At 49.5% G+C, this 17,620-nt stretch overlaps 2 protein-coding genes across 12 annotated transcripts in view, besides 6 other annotated features; both read right to left on the bottom strand.

The window, feature by feature from the left end:
* Nucleotides 1,869–1,948: an enhancer, noted in NCBI's record as "active region_19865". NCBI's record gives its function as "activates an Ori minimal core promoter by ATAC-STARR-seq in GM12878 lymphoblastoid cells {active_cell/tissue: GM12878}" and the evidence as "EXISTENCE:reporter gene assay evidence [ECO:0000049][PMID:35858748]".
* GPX1 (glutathione peroxidase 1) lies at nucleotides 6,585–7,762 on the bottom strand. Of its 5 annotated transcripts, none has more exons than NM_001329455.2 (2): nucleotides 7,574–7,762; nucleotides 6,585–7,156 (listed from the first exon to the last, which is right to left on the bottom strand). In NM_001329455.2, the coding sequence occupies exons 1-2, from the start codon at nucleotides 7,685–7,687 to the stop codon at nucleotides 6,797–6,799; spliced, it is 474 nt and encodes a 157-aa protein (NP_001316384.1). In that variant the 5' UTR covers nucleotides 7,688–7,762; the 3' UTR covers nucleotides 6,585–6,796. The 5 variants fall into 5 exon arrangements, with proteins under 5 accessions (NP_001316384.1, NP_000572.2, NP_001316432.1 ...); NM_000581.4 differs by having other exon boundaries at nucleotides 7,436–7,762; NM_001329503.2 differs by having other exon boundaries at nucleotides 6,585–7,175; nucleotides 7,436–7,762.
* Nucleotides 7,438–8,046: an enhancer, noted in NCBI's record as "H3K27ac hESC enhancer chr3:49395462-49396070 (GRCh37/hg19 assembly coordinates)". NCBI's record gives its function as "activates a minimal SCP1, AML or CMV promoter by ChIP-STARR-seq in naive and primed H9 embryonic stem cells {active_cell/tissue: H9 hESC(naive and primed)}" and the evidence as "EXISTENCE:reporter gene assay evidence [ECO:0000049][PMID:30033119]".
* Nucleotides 7,438–8,655: a biological region, named in NCBI's record as "H3K27ac hESC enhancers GRCh37_chr3:49395462-49396070 and GRCh37_chr3:49396071-49396679".
* Nucleotides 7,735–7,794: a silencer, noted in NCBI's record as "silent region_14362". NCBI's record gives its function as "represses an Ori minimal core promoter by ATAC-STARR-seq in GM12878 lymphoblastoid cells {active_cell/tissue: GM12878}" and the evidence as "EXISTENCE:reporter gene assay evidence [ECO:0000049][PMID:35858748]".
* Nucleotides 7,955–8,284: an enhancer, noted in NCBI's record as "active region_19866". NCBI's record gives its function as "activates an Ori minimal core promoter by ATAC-STARR-seq in GM12878 lymphoblastoid cells {active_cell/tissue: GM12878}" and the evidence as "EXISTENCE:reporter gene assay evidence [ECO:0000049][PMID:35858748]".
* Nucleotides 8,047–8,655: an enhancer, noted in NCBI's record as "H3K27ac hESC enhancer chr3:49396071-49396679 (GRCh37/hg19 assembly coordinates)". NCBI's record gives its function as "activates a minimal SCP1, AML or CMV promoter by ChIP-STARR-seq in naive and primed H9 embryonic stem cells {active_cell/tissue: H9 hESC(naive and primed)}" and the evidence as "EXISTENCE:reporter gene assay evidence [ECO:0000049][PMID:30033119]".
* RHOA (ras homolog family member A) overlaps nucleotides 8,554–17,620 on the bottom strand; it is a 52,832-nt gene continuing 43,765 nt past the window's right edge. For 5 of the 7 annotated variants that reach the window (NM_001313945.2, NM_001313944.2, NM_001313947.2 and 2 more), the window contains 2 exons: nucleotides 11,905–12,035; nucleotides 8,554–9,791 (listed from right to left, as the gene is read on the bottom strand). In NM_001313945.2, coding sequence (NP_001300874.1) covers nucleotides 9,618–9,791; nucleotides 11,905–12,035 — 305 coding nt within the window. In that variant the 3' untranslated portion in view covers nucleotides 8,554–9,617. Of the gene's footprint in view, nucleotides 9,792–10,336; nucleotides 10,476–11,904; nucleotides 12,036–17,620 lie in introns of all 7 variants that reach the window. The other 2 variants (NM_001313943.2, NM_001313946.2) reach the window with 2 other exon arrangements.

A 17,620-nucleotide genomic window follows, 5' to 3' on the forward strand; every position in this document is an offset into this window, starting at 1 on the left:
GTTGGCCAGGCTGATCTCAAACTCCTGACCTCAAATGATCCGCCCGCCTCACACTCGTCTAATTTTTGTATTTTTTGGTAGAGACAAGGTTTCACCATGTTGGCCAGGTTGGTTTTTTGGGGGGTTTTTTGTTTGTTTATTTTGAGACAGCCCAGGCTGGAGTCGCACAGGCTGGAGTGAAGTGGCACAATCTCAGTTCACTGCAGCCTTGACCCTCTGGGCTCAAGTGATTCCCCCCACCTCAGCCTCCTGAGTAGATGGGACTACAGGTACATGCAACCATGCCTGGCCCCTTGGGGAGATCTTTAGCCAGTACTTTTTACTCTATCTTATCCAAAAGTTAAAATGTAAGAGATTTATTAGACTTATCAGGCCAGGAATGCTTTTCTGAAAATAAACTTGTTTTATTTATTTTGAGACAGGGTCTCACTCTGTCTTCCAGGCTGGAGTACAGTGGCGCAATCAGCTCACTGCAGCCTCGATCTCCTGGGCTTAAGCAATGTTCTGACCTCAGCTGCCCAAGTAGCTGGCTGGTACCACAGTCATGTGCCACAAAGCTTGGCTCTTTTTTTTTTTTTTTTTTTTTTTGAGACAGAGTCTTGCTCTGTTACCCAGGCTGGAGTGCAGTGGCCCAATCTCAGCTCACTGCAACCTCCACCTCCCAGGTTTAAGCGATTCTCCTGCCTCAGCCTCTGGAGCAGCTGGGACTATAGGTGCACACCACCATGCCCAGCTTATTTTCGTATTTTTAGTAGAGACGGGGTTTCACCATATTGGCTGGACTCCTGACCTCATGATCCACCCGCCTTTTCCTCCCAAAGTGCTGGGATTACAAGCATGAGCCACCTTGCCTGGCCAGTATTTTTTTGTAGAAACAGTGTTTCGCCATGTTGCCCAGGCTGTTCTCAAACTCCTGAGCTCAAACAATCTGCCCACCTTAGCCTCCCAAAGTGCTTGGATTATAGGTGTGAGCCACTGCACTGAGCCTGAAAATAAACTTGTTTTAAATGTTGTTTTTAGGACTACGTTGAGTCAGAATAAGGAAGTCATTTGATCAACTGCTAATTGTGCAAGAAATGCCTGACCTAATTTTATCAGATTTAATGTTTGAAAAAAAACCCCAAAAGCAGCCCTTCTGTAAGAACTGCTGAAATGGAAGTTTCTGAACCTAGGTCAGTGGCCTAAATGCTGTATGTGTTTTCTGTGCAAGCAATGCTCTGCAGCCATTTCTGCTTTTAAAGCCAGGACTTCACATAGGCTGAATGTGATTTCTACTCTTTTACTTGTTTATTTGAGCTGCTGATTCACAATGGGGTGGGGTGGGTACCAGTCAGAGCAGCAGCAGTTGCATGGTTGAATGAAAAGAATGTGTATGTGTGAGAGTGTGTCTGTGTGTGTTGGGGGAAGACAGTGAAGTCTTAACTGGCTTTACTCTGAAACTTCCTGGAGAAGAGAGAGTTAGAAAGGACTGGCCGGGCATGGTGGCTCACGCCTGTAATCCCAGCACTTTGGGAGGCCCAGGTGGGTGGATCATTTGAAGTCAGGAGTCCAAGACCAGCCTGGCCAACATGGTGAAACCCTGCCTCTACTAAAAATACAAAAAAATTAGTCTCGGGTACTCAGGAGGCTGAGGCAGGAGAATTGCTTGAACCCGGGAGACAGGTTGGAGTGAGCTGAAATTGCACCACTGCATTCCAGCCTGGGCAATAGAGCGAGACTCCCTGTCAAAAAAAAAAAAAGAAAGAAATGACTTCTAGTTGAGAGAGGAGGCATACAGCTTAAAGTCTGAGGAGAAATGTTCTCCAGCCAGGATCAGGCATACTGGGAGTTCAGAAGTTCCCTTTACTGAAGCTGAGTAATTTCAGGGGAAACCAAAAAAAGTTCCCTTCACTCGTAGTCCAAGGCATAAACTGAGATGGTGGGGGTGGCATGGGGCAAGGAGGGGTCAATCACCAGGCATCCTGGAGAGAAGTTGGAGTTTATTGGAAAGTTCTGGGTTCCTATCCTGTAGCCTAACCAGAGAGTGTGGCCTAGGCCACATTGACCCTGTACAGGAAAGGGGAGAGTTGAAGTGGGATGTCTCTTCTCACAGGTCCAGCTGGTAGAACACTGAGTAGGACCCTAGGTCCCTAGACTTTCCACTTTGGTGTCTCTGGAGGTGGGTTGTGGAACATATATTTTCACAAGTACCTGGGTGACTCCTGGGCACTGTATATTCATCTCCTAGAATAGGACCTGGTACCTCCTAGACACATGGCTTTCTAGCTTTGGTTCCAGCTGCCCCGAGACTGCAGGCAGTCCAGAAGCATGGGTTCCAGCTAACTATTCTTTAGGAACTGTCCCTTCCCTTGGCTCCTTGCTCCAACCTTGTTCCTCCCCAGCTATTTCTCTCTGCCATCTCATCTGGAAGGATTGTGAATCTATAGGCCTCAGGCCCAGGTCCCCTAATCTTTTTCTTGCCACTTTCCCCACGTGACCTCATCCTCTCCAGTGGCTACTGCTCCCGTGGCTAGACCATTGCCTTTCAACATTCTCTTCTTCTGCGCCTCTTGTAACTGCCTGCCCCAGATACCTCTGTCTGGATGTCTAATGCAGTATAGCTGAATCTGAACACATCCACCTACCCCCAAAACCTGCTCCTCCTGTTGCTGACTTAGTCAAGAATGCCACCTTCCCATCTCAGGATCTCACACACTATACTCCCTGCCTGCTCACCCGCCATCAGCTTATTCTTTAACCAACTGCTTCTTGACTTCTTTTCAGTCTCAATTTTTTTTTTTTCTCTGAGAGGGAGTCTCGCTCTGTCACCCAGGCTAGAGTGCAGTGGTGCAATCTCGGCTCACTGCAAGCTCCGCCCCCCAGGTTCACGCCATTCTCCTGCCTCAGCCTCCCGAGTAGCTGGGACTACAGGTGCTCGCCACCACGCCCAGCTAATTTTTTGTATTTTTAGTGGAGATAGGGTTTCACCGTGTTAGCCAGGATGGTCTCGATCTCCTGACCTTGTCATCCGCCCACCTTGGCCTCCCAAAGTGCTGGGATTACAGGTGTGAGCCACCGCGCCCAGCCACTTTTTCTTTTTGAGATGGAGTCTTGCTCTGTTGCCCAGGCTGGAGTGCAGTGATACCATCTCGGCTCACTGCAACCTCCACCTCCTGGGTTCAAGTGATTCTCCTGCTTCAGACTCTTGAGTAGCTGGGATTACAGGTGCCCGCCACCACGCCCAGCTAATTATCATATTTTTAATAGAGACGTGGTTTCGCCGTGTTGGGCAGGCTCATCTCAAACTCCTGACCTCAAGCCATCAAGCCATCTGCCCACCTTGGCCTCCCAAAGTACTGGGATCACAGGTGTGAGCCACCGCACCCAGCCTCACTGTCACTTTTTCCAGGAGGCATGCATGAGCCTCCCTACTGGGCCTGGTCCTCTTCTTTATTCTTTTTTTTTTTTTTTTTTTTTGAGACGGAGTCTCGCTCTGTCGCCCAGGTCGGACTGCGGACTGCAGTGGCGCAATCTCGGCTCACTGCAAGCTCCGCTTCCCGGGTTCACGCCATTCTCCTGCCTCAGCCTCCCGAGTAGCTGGGACTACAGGTGCCCGCCACCACGCCCGGCTAATTTTTTGTATTTTTTTAGTAGAGACGGGGTTTCACCTTGTTAGCCAGGATGGTCTCGATCTCCTGACCTCGTGATCCGCCCGCCTCGGCCTCCCAAAGTGCTGGGATTACAGGCGTGAGCCACCGCACCCGGCCTATTCTTTTTTTTTAACTAGTGTAAGGTGCACAATTTTTTTCTTGTCTTTTTTTCCTATTCTCAAAGCACAAAACATGCTTTTTTGATAATTATATACTGTCCTTCTGACTTCTTCAGGCACCTGGCAGAGCACACGGCACAGGACTGGATTATGAATGAATGAGGGAGCAAAGTGCTTTTGGGGAAGAGACATGTAGGACATTAGGGGTCACAGGCAATCTGGGTCCACCCAGATTTACAGGTTGCTATTCTCCATTCCAGGAGTCAGATTTGAAGTCTACAAATGTCAAAAAGCCTTGGTACCATTTGAGTGGATTTTTTTTTTTTTTTTTTTTTTTTTTTTGAGAAAGTGTCTCGCTCTGTTGCCCAGGCTAAAGTGTAATAGCGCAATCTCGGCTCACTGCAACCTCCGCCTCCCAGGTTCAGGCAATTCTCCCTGCCTCAGCCTCCAGAGTAGTTGGGATTACAGGCGCCCGACACCACACCTGGCTAATTTTTGTATTTTTAGTAGAGACGGGGGTTTCACCATGTCGGTCAGGCTGGTCTCCAACTCCTTGCCTCAAGTGATCTGCCCTCCTCGGATTACTTGGGATTATAAAATGCTGGGATTATAGGCGTGAGCGTCCATGAATGGCCACTCAGGAGCCTTGATTGCATTTATGAATGACTAATCTTCTTCCCCAGAAGTTAACAGTCTAGGAGGGGTACAGGGGCTAGCCATCTCAGGGCCCACAGGGCCCGGCATATGATATTCATCACAAATATTGATCTATTAATATAATAACATTCCATTCTGGCAGGGCGCAGTGGCTCACGCCTGTAATCCCAGCACTTTGGGAGGCCTAGGCAGGCAGATCACCTGAGGTCAGGAGTTTGAGACCAGCCTGGCCAACATGGCGAAATCCCATCTCTACTAAAAATATTAAAAAGTAGCCAGGCATGGTGGTAGGCACCTGTAATCCCAGCCACTGGGGAGGCTGAGGCAGGAGAATCGCTTAAACTTGGGAGGTGGAGGCTGCAGTGAGCTGAGATCATGCCACTGCACCCCAGCCTGGGCAAGAGTGAGACTCCTGAGAGTTCCAAGGAACAACACAAGTAGAGTGAGGTCCAAAGGGGAAGCTGATAGTTCTACCTGGGTCACCCCAAGGGGGACTCAAAGGCTGGGGCAGAGAGAACCAGAGGGAGGTGGGCCTGTTCAGGAGTTCTCAGGATGGAGCCAGAGCAGGTCCAGAAGGCCCTACAATCCTTAGTGACCTAAGGGCAGACAAAGGGGGAAAGCAGCAGCAAAGATCACTGCTTAGGGCAAGAGGAAAAGTCCTTGAGAGTTGGTTCAGACTAAGAAGGACCTTGAGTCACGAATTTGAACACAAATGCTGGGACTCCAGAACCTCTGGTCCACAGTCAGCGGGTGAACAGCACTACCATGTCTCTGGGTACCTGTTTGCACAAGCGGAAGCTACACCCAGGCCCTGCAGTCCCCTGCACTGCGTTAGGAAATGGCTCCAAATCTGTCTTGAAAGATTATTGCTGCTCAAGCCTGTAATCCCAGCACTTTGGGAGGCCAAGGCGGGTGGATCACGAGGTCAGGAGATCGAGACCATCCTGGCTAACACGGTGAAACCCCGTCTACTAAAAAACAGAAAAAAATTAGCCGGGCGTGGTGGCGGGCGCCTGTAGTCCCAGCTACTCGGGAGGCTGAGGCAGAATGGCGTGAACCCGGGAGGCGGAGCTTGCAGTGAGCCGAGATTACACCACTGCACTCCAGCCTGCGCAACAGAGCAAGACTGTCTCAAAAAAAAAAAAAAAAAAAAAAAAATTAAAGATTATTGGCAGCAGGGTCAACAGATGGAGAGGCTGGACCTGAGTGGTGCCCGAGAAGCAGCAGCTGGCTTCAAAGACAAGCCCTTATCCTGGGCCTGAATGTGCAATTAATTGCACGTTAAGTGTTGGGCAGGGCATAGTCAGAAGGGCCAGTTAAATTATAGTTTTCTCACTCTTGAATATATGAGGCAGAAACTTGTAAGATCATCGTCACAGCAGATACAGGCACTTGGTAGCAACATGGAAAGATCTAGCCAGATAACAGAATTTATAACATTGCATGAGCTTCCGTGTAAAATGGGATTGTGTGGACCTAACAATTGGAGAGGCCATGACTCCAAATGTGAGTGGGGGCTCATGTTATTTTGTGACAGTCATTTCAGCGTGCAGCAAGTAGTCAGAAGTCTATCATTTGAGTTAGGCAGTCAACCATTGCCTTGTGTCTTTTTTGAAGTAAGGACTTTGTTGTAACTGGGTCTTGAGATGGCCCTTTGCATGTTCTGGTGAAGGCAGAAATGCAGGCCAGGAGCCAGACTTCCCACAAAGGAAAGAGTGGATCCTACACGCTGCAGACAAAAGGACAGAAAGTTCAGACTTGGCTAGGATAAGGGAAGGAGGATTAAGTTCCCACCACTATGACAATGAGGTTAGAAAAAGTATCGCCAGGCCGGGTGCGGTGGCTCATACCTGTAATCCCAGCACTTTGGGAGGCCGAGGCGGGTGGATCACGAGGTCAGGAGATCGATACCATCCTGGCTAACACGGTGAAACCCTGTCTCTACTAAAAATACAAAAAATTAGCCGGGCGTGGTGGCAGGCACCTGTAGTCCCAGCTACTCAGGAGGTTGAGGCAGGAGAATGGCGTGAACCCGGGAGGCGGAGCTTGCAGTGAGCCTAGATTGCGCCACTGCACTCCAGCCTGGGCAATAGAGCAAAAAACTCCGTCTCAAAAAAAAAAAAAAAAAAAGAAAAGAAAAAGAATTCCCAAATGACAATGACACAGGACATACACACAGTTCTGCTGACACCCGGCACTTTATTAGTGGGGAAACTCGCCTTGGTCTGGCAGAGACTGGGATCAACAGGACCAGCACCCATCTCGAGGTGGTATTTTCTGTAAGATCAGGTGTTCCTCCCTCGTAGGTTTAGAGGAAACACCCTCATAGATGAAAACCCCCCCGAGACAGCAGCACTGCAACTGCCAAGCAGCCGGGGTAGGAGGGGCGCCCTAGGCACAGCTGGGCCCTTGAGACAGCAGGGCTTCGATGTCAGGCTCGATGTCAATGGTCTGGAAGCGGCGGCTGTACCTGCGTAGGGGCACACCGTCAGGGCCCACCAGGAACTTCTCAAAGTTCCAGGCAACATCGTTGCGACACACCGGAGACCAGGTGATGAGCTTGGGGTCGGTCATAAGCGCGGTGGCGTCGTCGCTGGGAGCTGGCAGGGCCTCCCGCAGGAAGGCGAAGAGAGGGTGCGCCCCCGCACCGTTCACCTCGCACTTCTCGAAGAGCATGAAGTTGGGCTCGAACCCACCACCAGGCCGGACGTACTTGAGGGAATTCAGAATCTCTTCGTTCTTGGCGTTCTCCTACAGGAGAGAAGGGCAGCTAGAACCCGGGGTCAAGAGGAGGAGAGAAACGTTCTAACCACAAACAAGGGAGATTTTCTATGAGTCACCGGGATTTTGCCCTCCATGCGCAATCCCAAGGGCGGAGAGGAATTTCAGCAGCTACGAGCAACAGAAAGGAAACGAGAGAGTAGCCAGACTCTCCGCGCATGGAGCCGACGGCACCCACCAGCACACCGCCGGCGCCCCCAGCCACTACTGCACGTCCGCCCCCGCCCCGCCCCGCTCCGCCCGGCGCACCTGATGCCCAAACTGGTTGCACGGGAAGCCGAGCACCACCAGGCCCCGGGGTCCGAGGCGCCGCTGCAGCTCGTTCATCTGGGTGTAGTCCCGGACCGTGGTGCCTCAGAGGGACGCCACATTCTCGATAAGTAGTACCTTGCCCCGCAGGGAGCCCAGGCTCACAGGCTCCCCGCCGGCCAGCGGGCGCGCCGAGAAGGCATACACCGACTGGGCCGCCGCCGCCGCCGCCGCTAGCCGAGCAGCACACATGGCGCAATTGTCCAAGAAGCCAGCGGAGCGCCCCGAACAAGCACTGTAAGGGGAGGCCAGCAGGCGCCTCCTTTTAACTGGCCGGCGGCGGGTCACGTGGCACAGGCAGTTTTCCGGGCCTGAGGGTCCCGCCTCATCCGGCCCCCGCCCTACCCGGAGGGCTCGGCCCCTCCTCAGCCAGGAAAAGGCTGGAGAGTGCGCCCGAGCGGGACGCGTGCTCCTCCTAAGCCGGAAGGAGCAGCAGGCATGTCTGGTCTGGCCCAGGCAACCAGGCGGCAGCGGTCCAGGTTACCCTTCCAAGGGCTGGGGCCCTCGAGGGCTCCGTTTTTTCTCAGAGGTTCCTGAGTTAGGATGTGGGGTTTGGCATAGGAGGCTGGTGGGCGACGGCAGCAGCTGCAGGAGCTGCCCGTGCACAAACAGCCCTCCTCTCCTGTGCCATGTTACCGGCAGTGCAGGGGACAGCCAGAGGGATCTAGGCTTCCGGTCTCCCTCCTCCCTGTCTCCAAAGCGGCACCGCCCTCGTGCGGGTTTTCTAACCGGGCAGAGTCCTGGAAGCTCTGCCCCAGCCTCCTTAAGTGGAGCCCAGTAGCTCGCCGAGGCCAAGGAAACGCTGCCGGAGTCCTCCCTCCCTGGCCTCCTCAGGCTGCATTCACCCTACCCCCAAATCTGAACCAGAATGCGGTACAGGGTAATCATTTCCATGTTGTTGGGAGGGACCAGATTAGCTGCTGGGTGGGTGGGAGGTGGGGCACAAGCTAGTCCTTTGCACTCAACAAACCTCTCCAGGGTGAGCTAGGCCAGGAAGTCCTTGCATCCTCCTACCCCCAGCCCTGGAGAGAGCAACACAAACAACAGGATACAGGAAGTTTAGAAAACTGCCTTTATTCTATTAGTAGTTGGAAAAATTAACTGGTACAGAAAAAAAGTTTAGTCAGCTGGAGAGAAGAGAGACTGAGTGCCACCCATGAGAACTGGTGGCTCCTCTGGGAGGGAACCTGGATACAGTGAGGAGAAAAGAGCACTGTGAATTAGAGCCAGATGCTTAAGTCCAGGTGAGACAGGTTATGCCATCTTCCAAAGTGTCTAATTGCCTCAGGCGTGAAACCAATTCCTATTTACTTAGCCCAGCTCCATGGGGTACTGAGATACATGGGGCCGAAAAGGGGTAATATGGCCATCTTTTATCAGAAAAAGTGACAAAACGGGAATTTAAAAAATGAATTTTCCATCTGACTTTATTTCCAAATACACTTTCTTTTTTAAAAAACCAATACACTTTCTTTGAGGATGACAGTATTAGGAAATCCAATTATACAAAAAATACTACATCTAGTCTGGGGTAGATATATTTATTTTTGGTAACATACATTAAGTGGCACTAATTACACAGTAACTATAAGGTAACTAACATGAAACCACAGAACTGTAACTCTGCCACAGCTGCATGAACTTGGGCTTTTCTGGTTGAGCCCATTTTCAAAAAACTGCCCACCCCAGAGCTATGCCAACAAAATCTGTTACGGAGTAAAGCCCTGAAGTGGTGACTCACCAGAGTACCTTGCAGCTGACAGATAATAGGCAGGACATGTTAGTTATAAAGTAGTTACAGCCTAATTCACAAAAGTTACCAACTGTTTCTCTTTCTAGAAAGAAGCAAGAAGTTAAGAAATTCCTTGAATTAGCGCCTGGTGTGTCAGGTGGGAGTGCAGAGGAGGGCTGTTAGAGCAGTGTCAAAAGGACCCTGGTGGGCCAGACGGGTTGGACATCGTTAATAATCATAGTTGGCTTCTAAATACTGGTAGCAAGATGACTTCTGATTTGTAATCTTAGGTAAATTATAGATAAATGAAAAAGGCCAGTAATCATACACTAAGATTAATAAACAGCACTTCAAAATTAACCGCATAAGGGCTGTGCTTGCAGCAAGGTTTCACAAGACAAGGCACCCAGATTTTTTCTTCCCACGTCTAGCTTGCAGAGCAGCTCTCGTAGCCATTTCAAAAACCTCTCTCACTCCATCTTTGGTCTTTGCTGAACACTCCATGTACCCAAAAGCGCCAATCCTGTTTGCCATATCTCTGCCTTCTTCAGGTTTCACCGGCTCCTAGCAAAGAAAAAAAAATAGTCCTTTTAGCTAATAGTGTGGCATACATATAGTAAGTAAAAAGTATTCAAATTCATCTAAAAGATTTTTTTTTCTTTTTTTGAGACAGTTTTGCTCGTCGGTCGCCCAGGCTGGAGGGCAATGGCATGATCTCAGCTGACTGCAACCTCCACCTCCTGGGTTCAAGGGATTCTCCCGCCTCAGCCTCCCGAGTAGCTGGGACTACAGGTGCCCACCACCACGCCCAAGTAATTTTTTAGTAGAGATGGGGTTTCACCATTTTGGCCAGGCTGGTCTCGAACTCCTGACCAAGTGATCTGCCCACCTCGGCCTCCCAAAGTGCTGGGATACAGGCATGAGCCACTGTACCCAGCCTAAAAAAAAAAAAGACTTTCAAAAGCTGTTAAACTTGGCTGGGTGTGGTGGCTCACACCTGTAATCCCAGCACTTTGGGAGGCTGAGCTGGGCGGATCACGAGTTTAGGAGATCAAGACCATCCTGGCCAACATGGTGAAACCCCTCTTTACTAAAATACAAAAAATCACCTGGGTGTGGTAGTGGGCGCCTGTAACCCCAGCTACTCAGGAGGCTGAGGCAGGGGAATCGCTTAAATCTGGGAGGCGGAGGTTGCAGTTGAGCCAAGATCGTGCCACAGCACTCCAGCCTGGCGACACAGTGAGGCTCCTTCTCAAAAAAAACAAAACAAAAAAAAAAAACAACAAACTGCTAAACTTATGAAATTTTTAAACTGACATATGGTAACTACCCCCTACCAAACATAAAATCTCTAATAAACATGGTATTCACTGGGAAGTAGAGGGAAGAGGTCAGAGGAGCCCTGGAAGGTTAAGGAGTCAATCAAGAGCAAAATTACTCAAGCTACCAATCCAGGACTAAATGCCCTGAAGGAAATAAAGCCTACCCTTGACATTCAGACAGAGAAACCTGAGTAAGAGAACTTAGGTTGAAGATCTCAATGCTTCTCCTCCAGTGAGGAAGCCCTGCCATTAGGCCAGCTGGTTTCTGAGAGGCCAAGATGCCACATCCATCATCACTTTTAAAAAGGCATTGGGAGTGGAGGAGAGGGAAGGCATTAGGGCTTTCTATCTGGACTCCCAGCCTTCAAGATTTCCTTATCTTTCAGTTGCCACTAATTTATCTTTGGCCTCACATGTACCAAAGTAATAGCTGGGGAAGGCAATCAAGAGTCTAACAGGCCCGGGCGTGGTGGCTCACACCTGTAATCCCAGCACTTTGGGAGGCCAAGGCGGGCAGATCACCTAAGGTCAGGAGTTTGAGACCAGCCTGACCAACATGGAGAAAACCCGTCTCTACTAAAAATACAAAAATTAGCCAGGCGTGGTGGCACATGCCTGTAATCCCAGCAACTTGGGAGGCTGAGGCAGGAGAATCACTTAAACCTTGGAGGCTGAGGTTGCAGCCGAGATAGCATCACTGCATTCCAGCCTGGGTGACAAAAGCAAAACTGTGTCTCAAAAAATAAAAATAAAGAGTCTAACAGAGGCCAGGCACAGTGGCTCACACCTGTAATCCCTGCACTTTGGGAGGCAAAAGTGGGCAGATCACTTGAGGTAAGGAGTTCAAGACCAGCCTGGCCAACAGGGTGAAACCCCATCTATTAAAAAAAAAAAAAATTAGCCGGTCATGGTGGAGGGTGCCTGTAGTCCCAGCTACTCGGGAGTCTGAGGCAGAAGAATCGCTTGAACCCCGGAGGCGGAGGTTGCAGTGAGCTGAGATTGCGCCACTGCACTCCAGCCTGGGTGACAGAATGAGACTCCATATCAAAAAAAAGAAAGTTCCTACATCTAGAGCCACTGATTACTAGCTACTAATGAAATGGTTCATTCTCAGGCCAGCAGTCCTTATGGGCATAGCACTACCTCATAAAAAAACATTCCATCTCACAGGACTGGTGAACTATCTTAGGGATCTTCTGTGAAGATCCCAATTAATGAGGGTCAGAGGGCCACAGAGGGGCTTCTGAGCCTCTAAAACAACCTGGCCTGTGAAGGTTCCTGCTGGGCTCCCCAAACCTCCAAACTTGGGGCCCTAGTTCAAGAATACTACAAGACAGTCCTGCCCCAGATCATGCCTGCTTCATCTTGGCTAGCTCCCGCCTTGTGTGCTCATCATTCCGAAGATCCTTCTTATTCCCAACCAGGATGATGGGCACGTTGGGACAGAAATGCTTGACTTCTGGGGTCCACTTTTCTGGGATGTTTTCTGAAAGAAAAATGTAGAGAATTTGGGGATACATACAATTCTATCTTGAAGACTTTCCAAGAACCTCAGTGAAATTGCAGAGACACTTTCTTTGTGGCTTCAGAAAAATGCTAGACATTTAATGAAACTCACTAGTTTCAAAACCATAAAAAGGAAATATAATCCCTTTCCTTTAAACAGAGAACCAACAGCTTTTTCTCAGTCCAGCCAAGAGTGGTGCTGAGCATCTCTGTAGGTGGGGCCCGAGTAAGGGCTCTGGAGGAGCAAAAGATCCACAACACAAGGTAGTTTCACGGGGGGCACTTCCTGCCCCACAAAGGCAGGCACTTTACAGGACATCTGTCACTGCTGGTAGATGATTCTGACATAGCTTACAGAAGGGGTCCCCATTCTAGGGCAGCAGCTGACCCAGGGTCCACATGTTCTTTTTCTAACTTGTTCATCAACTCTCAGCATAACTTCTACCCTATGGGGTTTACTGGTATTTCAAATGGCTGAAGAGTGACTTTTGGCCGGGAGCGGTGGCTCATGCCTGTAATCCCAGCACTTTGGGAGGCCAAGGTGGGCGGATCATGAGGTCAGGAGATCGAGACCATCCTGGCTAACACAGTGAAACCCCGTCTCTACTAAAAATACAAAAAAAATTAGCCGGGTGTAGTGGTGGGCACCTGTAGTCCCAGCTATTCAGGAGGCTGAGGCAGGAGAATGGTGTGAACCCGGGAGGCAGAGCTTGCCATGAGCTGAGATCGCGCCACTGCACTCCTGGGCGACAGAGCAAGACTCCGTCTCAAATAAAAAAAAGTGACTTTTGAAAATAACCAAAAGAGGCTGGGCGTGGTGACTCATACTTGTAATTCCAGCACTTTTGAGAGGCTAAGGCAAGTAGACAGCTTGGGCCTAGGAGCTCAAGAACAGCCTATGCAACATGGCTAAACCCCATCTCCAGACAGCGTGGTGGCTCGTGCCTGTAATCCCAGCACTTTGGGAGGCTTAGGTGGGTGGATCACCAGAGGTCAGGAGTTCGAGACCAGCCTGGCCAACATGGCGAAACCTCATCTCTACTAAAATTACTAAAATTAGCCGGGCGCAGTGGTGTGCACCTATAGTCCCAGCTACTTGGGAGGCTGAGGCAGAAGAAACACTTGAACCCAGGAGGTGGAGGTTGTGATGAGTCGAGATCGCAATACTACACTCACTCCAGCCTGGGCAACAGAGTGAGACTCTGTATCAAAAAAGTCAAAAACCCCATCTCCACAAAAACATACAAAAACTTAGCAGTTTACAGTGGTACATGTGCCTGCATTCCCACCTACTTGAGAGGCTGAGGTGGGAGGATCACTGGAGTCCAGGATTCAAGGTAGCAGTGAGCTATGATCACGCTACTACTGCACTCCAGCCAGGGTGACAAAGTGAGACTTCATCTCTTAAAAACAAATAAATAGGCTGGGCGCAGTGGCTCACGTCTATAATCCCAAAACTTTGAGAGGCTGAGGCAGGTGGATCGCGTTAGGTCAGGAGTTCGAGACCAGTCTGGCCAACATGGTGAAACCCCATCTCTATTAAAAATACAAAAAGATTGCCAGGCGCAGTGGTTCATGCCTATAATCCCAGCACTGTGAAGGCCGGGGCGGGTGGATCACCTCAGGTCGGGAGTTGGGAGACCAGCATAACCAACATGGAGAAACCCCGTCTCTACTAAAAATACAAAATTAGCTGGGCGTGGTGGCACATGCCTGCAATCCCAGCTACTTGAGAGGCTGAGGCTGGAGAATCGCTTGAACCCGGGAGGCGGAAGTTGCAGTGAGCCGAGATCGTGCCATTGCACTCCAGCCTGGGCAACAAGAGCGAAACTCCGTCTCAAAAACAACAAAACAAAACAAAAAAATTAACTGGGCATGGTGGTGCACACCTGTAATCCCAGCTACTAGGGAGGCTGAGGCAGGGAAATTCCTTGAACCAGGGAGGTGGAGGTTGCAGTGAGCCAAGATCGTGCCACTGCCCTCCAGCCTGGGCGACAGAGCGAGACTCCGTCTCAAAATAAATAAATAAATAAATAAATAAAAATAAATAGACCAGGTGCAGTGGCTCATCAGGCCTGTAATCTCAGCACTTTGGGAGGCCGAGGCAGGTGGATCAGGAGTTTGAGACCAGTCTGGCCAACATGTTGAAACCCTGTCTCTACTAATAATACAAAAATTAGTCAGGCATGGTGGTGCATGCCTGTAATCCCAGCTACTTGGGAGGCTGAGGCAGAAGAAGTGCTTGAACCCGGGAGGCGGAGTGCAGTGAGCTGAGATCGCACCATTGCACTCCAGCCTGCGTGACAAGAGCAAAAGTCTGTCTCAAAAAAACAAAAATAAAAATAAATAAAACAAAACAGCATACAACCATGACCCACCTCTACAAATGTTATTTGTAATATTTACTGTTACTGGGTTTACTGTTGTTATTTTCTGATTTACTTTTTTGGGGGCATTGAGGGGAGCCTATTCTGTCTTCCCTCATCTAGAACAGAAGTTTTTTTTTTTTTTTTTTAGATGGACTCTTGCTCTGTCGCCCAGGCTGGAGCGCAGTGGCGCAATCTCAGCTCACTACAACCTCTGCCTCCCGGGTTCAAGCAATTCTCCTGCCTCAGCCTCCCGAGTAGCTGGGATTACAGGCACTCGCCACCACGCCCGGATGATTTTTTTGTATTTTTAGTAGAGACAGGGATTCACCATGTTGGACAGGCTGGTCTTGAACTCCTGACCTCAGGATCCACCCACCTTGGCCTCCCAAAGTGGTGGGATTACAGGTGTGAGCCACAGTGCCTGGCCTAGAATAGATGTTCTGTTAGTAGGTGCTGTAGTTATTTCCTGAATATGTGAAATTATACCAATAGTCTACCCCCTTCCTGGAGTTTGAGGTACATAGAATTTGAATAAATTGACTGTCGCCACTTTTGGTGAATAAATTTTCAAACTTTTTTTTTTTTTTTTTTTGAGACAAGAGTCTCACTCTGTCACCTAGGCTGGAGTGCAGTGATGCGATCTCGGCTCACTGCAACCTCTGCCTCCCAGGTTCAAGCAATTCTCCTGCCTCAGCCTCCTGAGTAGCTGGGATTACAGGTACATGCCACCATACTTGGCTAAGTTTTGTATTTTTAGTAGCGACAGGATTTCACCATGTTGGCCAGGCTGGTCTCGAACTCCTGACCTCAGGTGATCCGCCTACCTCAGCCTCCCGAAGTGCTGGGATTACAGGCGTGAGCCACCATGCCCGGCCTAAAAAATATAAAAATTAACCAAGCGCAGCAGTGTGTGCCTGTAGTACCAACTACTGGGTGGGGACTGAGATGGGAGGATTGTTTGAGCCCAGGAGGTCGAGGCAGCAGTAAACTGAATCTGCAACTGCACTCAAGACTGGGCAAGAAAGCGAGACCCTGTCTCAAAAAGAAAAAAGTGAGACTGAAGAGACAAAATGTTTTGCTCTGGAGGCAGTTTTTTCCCTCAAGAATTATACACTAGATAACGAGGGCAAAGGCACACAGTCCTTCTCATTCCAATAGGATCTAGGTGAAGTTATTTATGTGTGTATCTGATAGGAGAGTGTCAACTAGCTCAAATTTTCTCTGTGGCCTAAAGCTCTGCCCAGCCTCCAGGGCCTTCCAGCAGCTTCACAAAAGGAAGTCATATTAGTTTGAAAACCAAAACTAGGCTGGGTGTGGTGGCTCACACCTGTAATCCCAGCACTTTGGGAGGCCAAGGTGAGTGGATCACCAGAGGTCAGAAGTTTGAGAGAAGCCTGGCCAACACGGAGAAACCCGGTCTCTACTAAAAATACAAAAATCACCCAGGCGTGGGGGCGTATGCCTGTAGTCCAAGCTACTTGGGAGGCTGAGACAGGAGATTTGCTTGAACCTGGAAGGCGGAGGTTGCAGTGAGCCAAGATTGTGCCACTCAACTCCAGCCTGGGCAACAGAGCGAGACCCCGCCTCTAAATCAATCAATCAATCATAACTGCTGAAAATGATCTAAGTGAACCAACGGCATGGAATACGTGCTCTTTCTCTGTCCTGGGACATACTGCACAGAGGACTCAATCTTAGCTCAGCTCCTTGGGCCAGCATGACCTTAAACAAGTGGCTCAATATCTTGGAGCAACCCCAGTTATCATCATTAAGGTAGGGACAACCATAACAACACAATCACTCTAACACTAACTATCCAGGCAACCCGAGGCCACAAGCAGACCCTCAAAGGCTGTTTGTGGTAATGACGACAACATCCTTGACCCACCTGCTGCCCTGTCATGACAGGGAGGGCTGCAGCACAAGTTTATTAATAGATACCTCATCATCTTCAGCACAAACCTAAAGCAAGTTTTTTCAAGCCTGGTTTCACAGAATGTCAGGTTAGCATTCTTCAGTCTTTTTCTAAAGAATACTGACTTCTGGGCCAGGCGCAGTGGCTCACGCCTGTAATCCCAGCACTTTGGGAGGCCGAGGCAGGCGGATCACGAGGTCAGGAGATCAAGATCATCCTGGCTAACGTGGTGAAATCCCATCTCTACTAAAAAATACAAAAAATTAGCCGGGCGTGGTGGTGGCCACCTGTAGTCCCAGCTACTTGGGTGGCTGAGGCAGGAGAATGGCATCAACCCAGGAGGCAGAGCTTGCAGTGAGCTGAGATCAAGCTGCTGCAATCCAGCCTGGGAGACAGAGCAAGACTCCCTCTCAAAAAAAAAAAAAAAAAAAAAAAAGAATACTGACTTACTGACTTCTGAATTATGTGGCTGTGTTTAGGCTAATGAAATGATCACATTCAAGCTTCTATCAGCTAAGACACTTCAGAAAAAGGCTAAGACAGGGCAACCAAAAAAAAGAAAGTCTTTCCCCAAAAGAGATGGCTTTACATTTGGAACTCATCTAGTTTGCTCATCTTTTTTTTTGGGAGATGGAGTCTGCAGTACAGTGGCATGATCTTGGCTCACTGCAACTTCTGCTTCCCAGGCTCAAGTGATTCTCCTGCCTCAGCCCCTGGAATAGCTGGGATTACAAGTGCACGCCACCACACCCAGCTAATTTTTGTATTTTAGTAGAGACAAGGGGTTCACCATGTTGCCTAGGCTGGTCTCAAACTCCTGACCTCAGGTGATCTGCCAGCCTCGGCCTCCCAAAGTGCTAGGATTACAGGTGTCAGCCGCCGCACCAGCCTTAGTTTACTCATCTTTGTATCTGGAATTCATCTAGTTTACAAGGCAGTTAGATTTTTAAATAACATTTAATATTATTTAGTAATAATAATAATAATTATTATTTTTGAGATAGAGTCTTGCTCTGTTGCTCAGTCTGGAATGCAGTGCCATAATCTCGGCTCACTGCAATCTCCACCTACCAGGTTCAAACGATTCTCCTGCCTCAGCCTCCCAAGTACCTGGGACTACAGGCGTGCACCACCATGCCTGGCTAATTTTTTTGTACTTTTAGTAAAGACGGGGTTTCACCATGTTGGCCAGGCTGGTCTTGAACTCCTGACCCTCAGGTGATCCACCCGTCTGGACCTCCCAAAGCGCAGGGATTATAGGTGTCAGGCACCGTGCCCTGC

Source organism: Homo sapiens, chromosome 3, assembly GCF_000001405.40.
Source record: "Homo sapiens chromosome 3, GRCh38.p14 Primary Assembly".
NCBI classification, from domain to species: domain Eukaryota; kingdom Metazoa; phylum Chordata; class Mammalia; order Primates; family Hominidae; genus Homo; species Homo sapiens.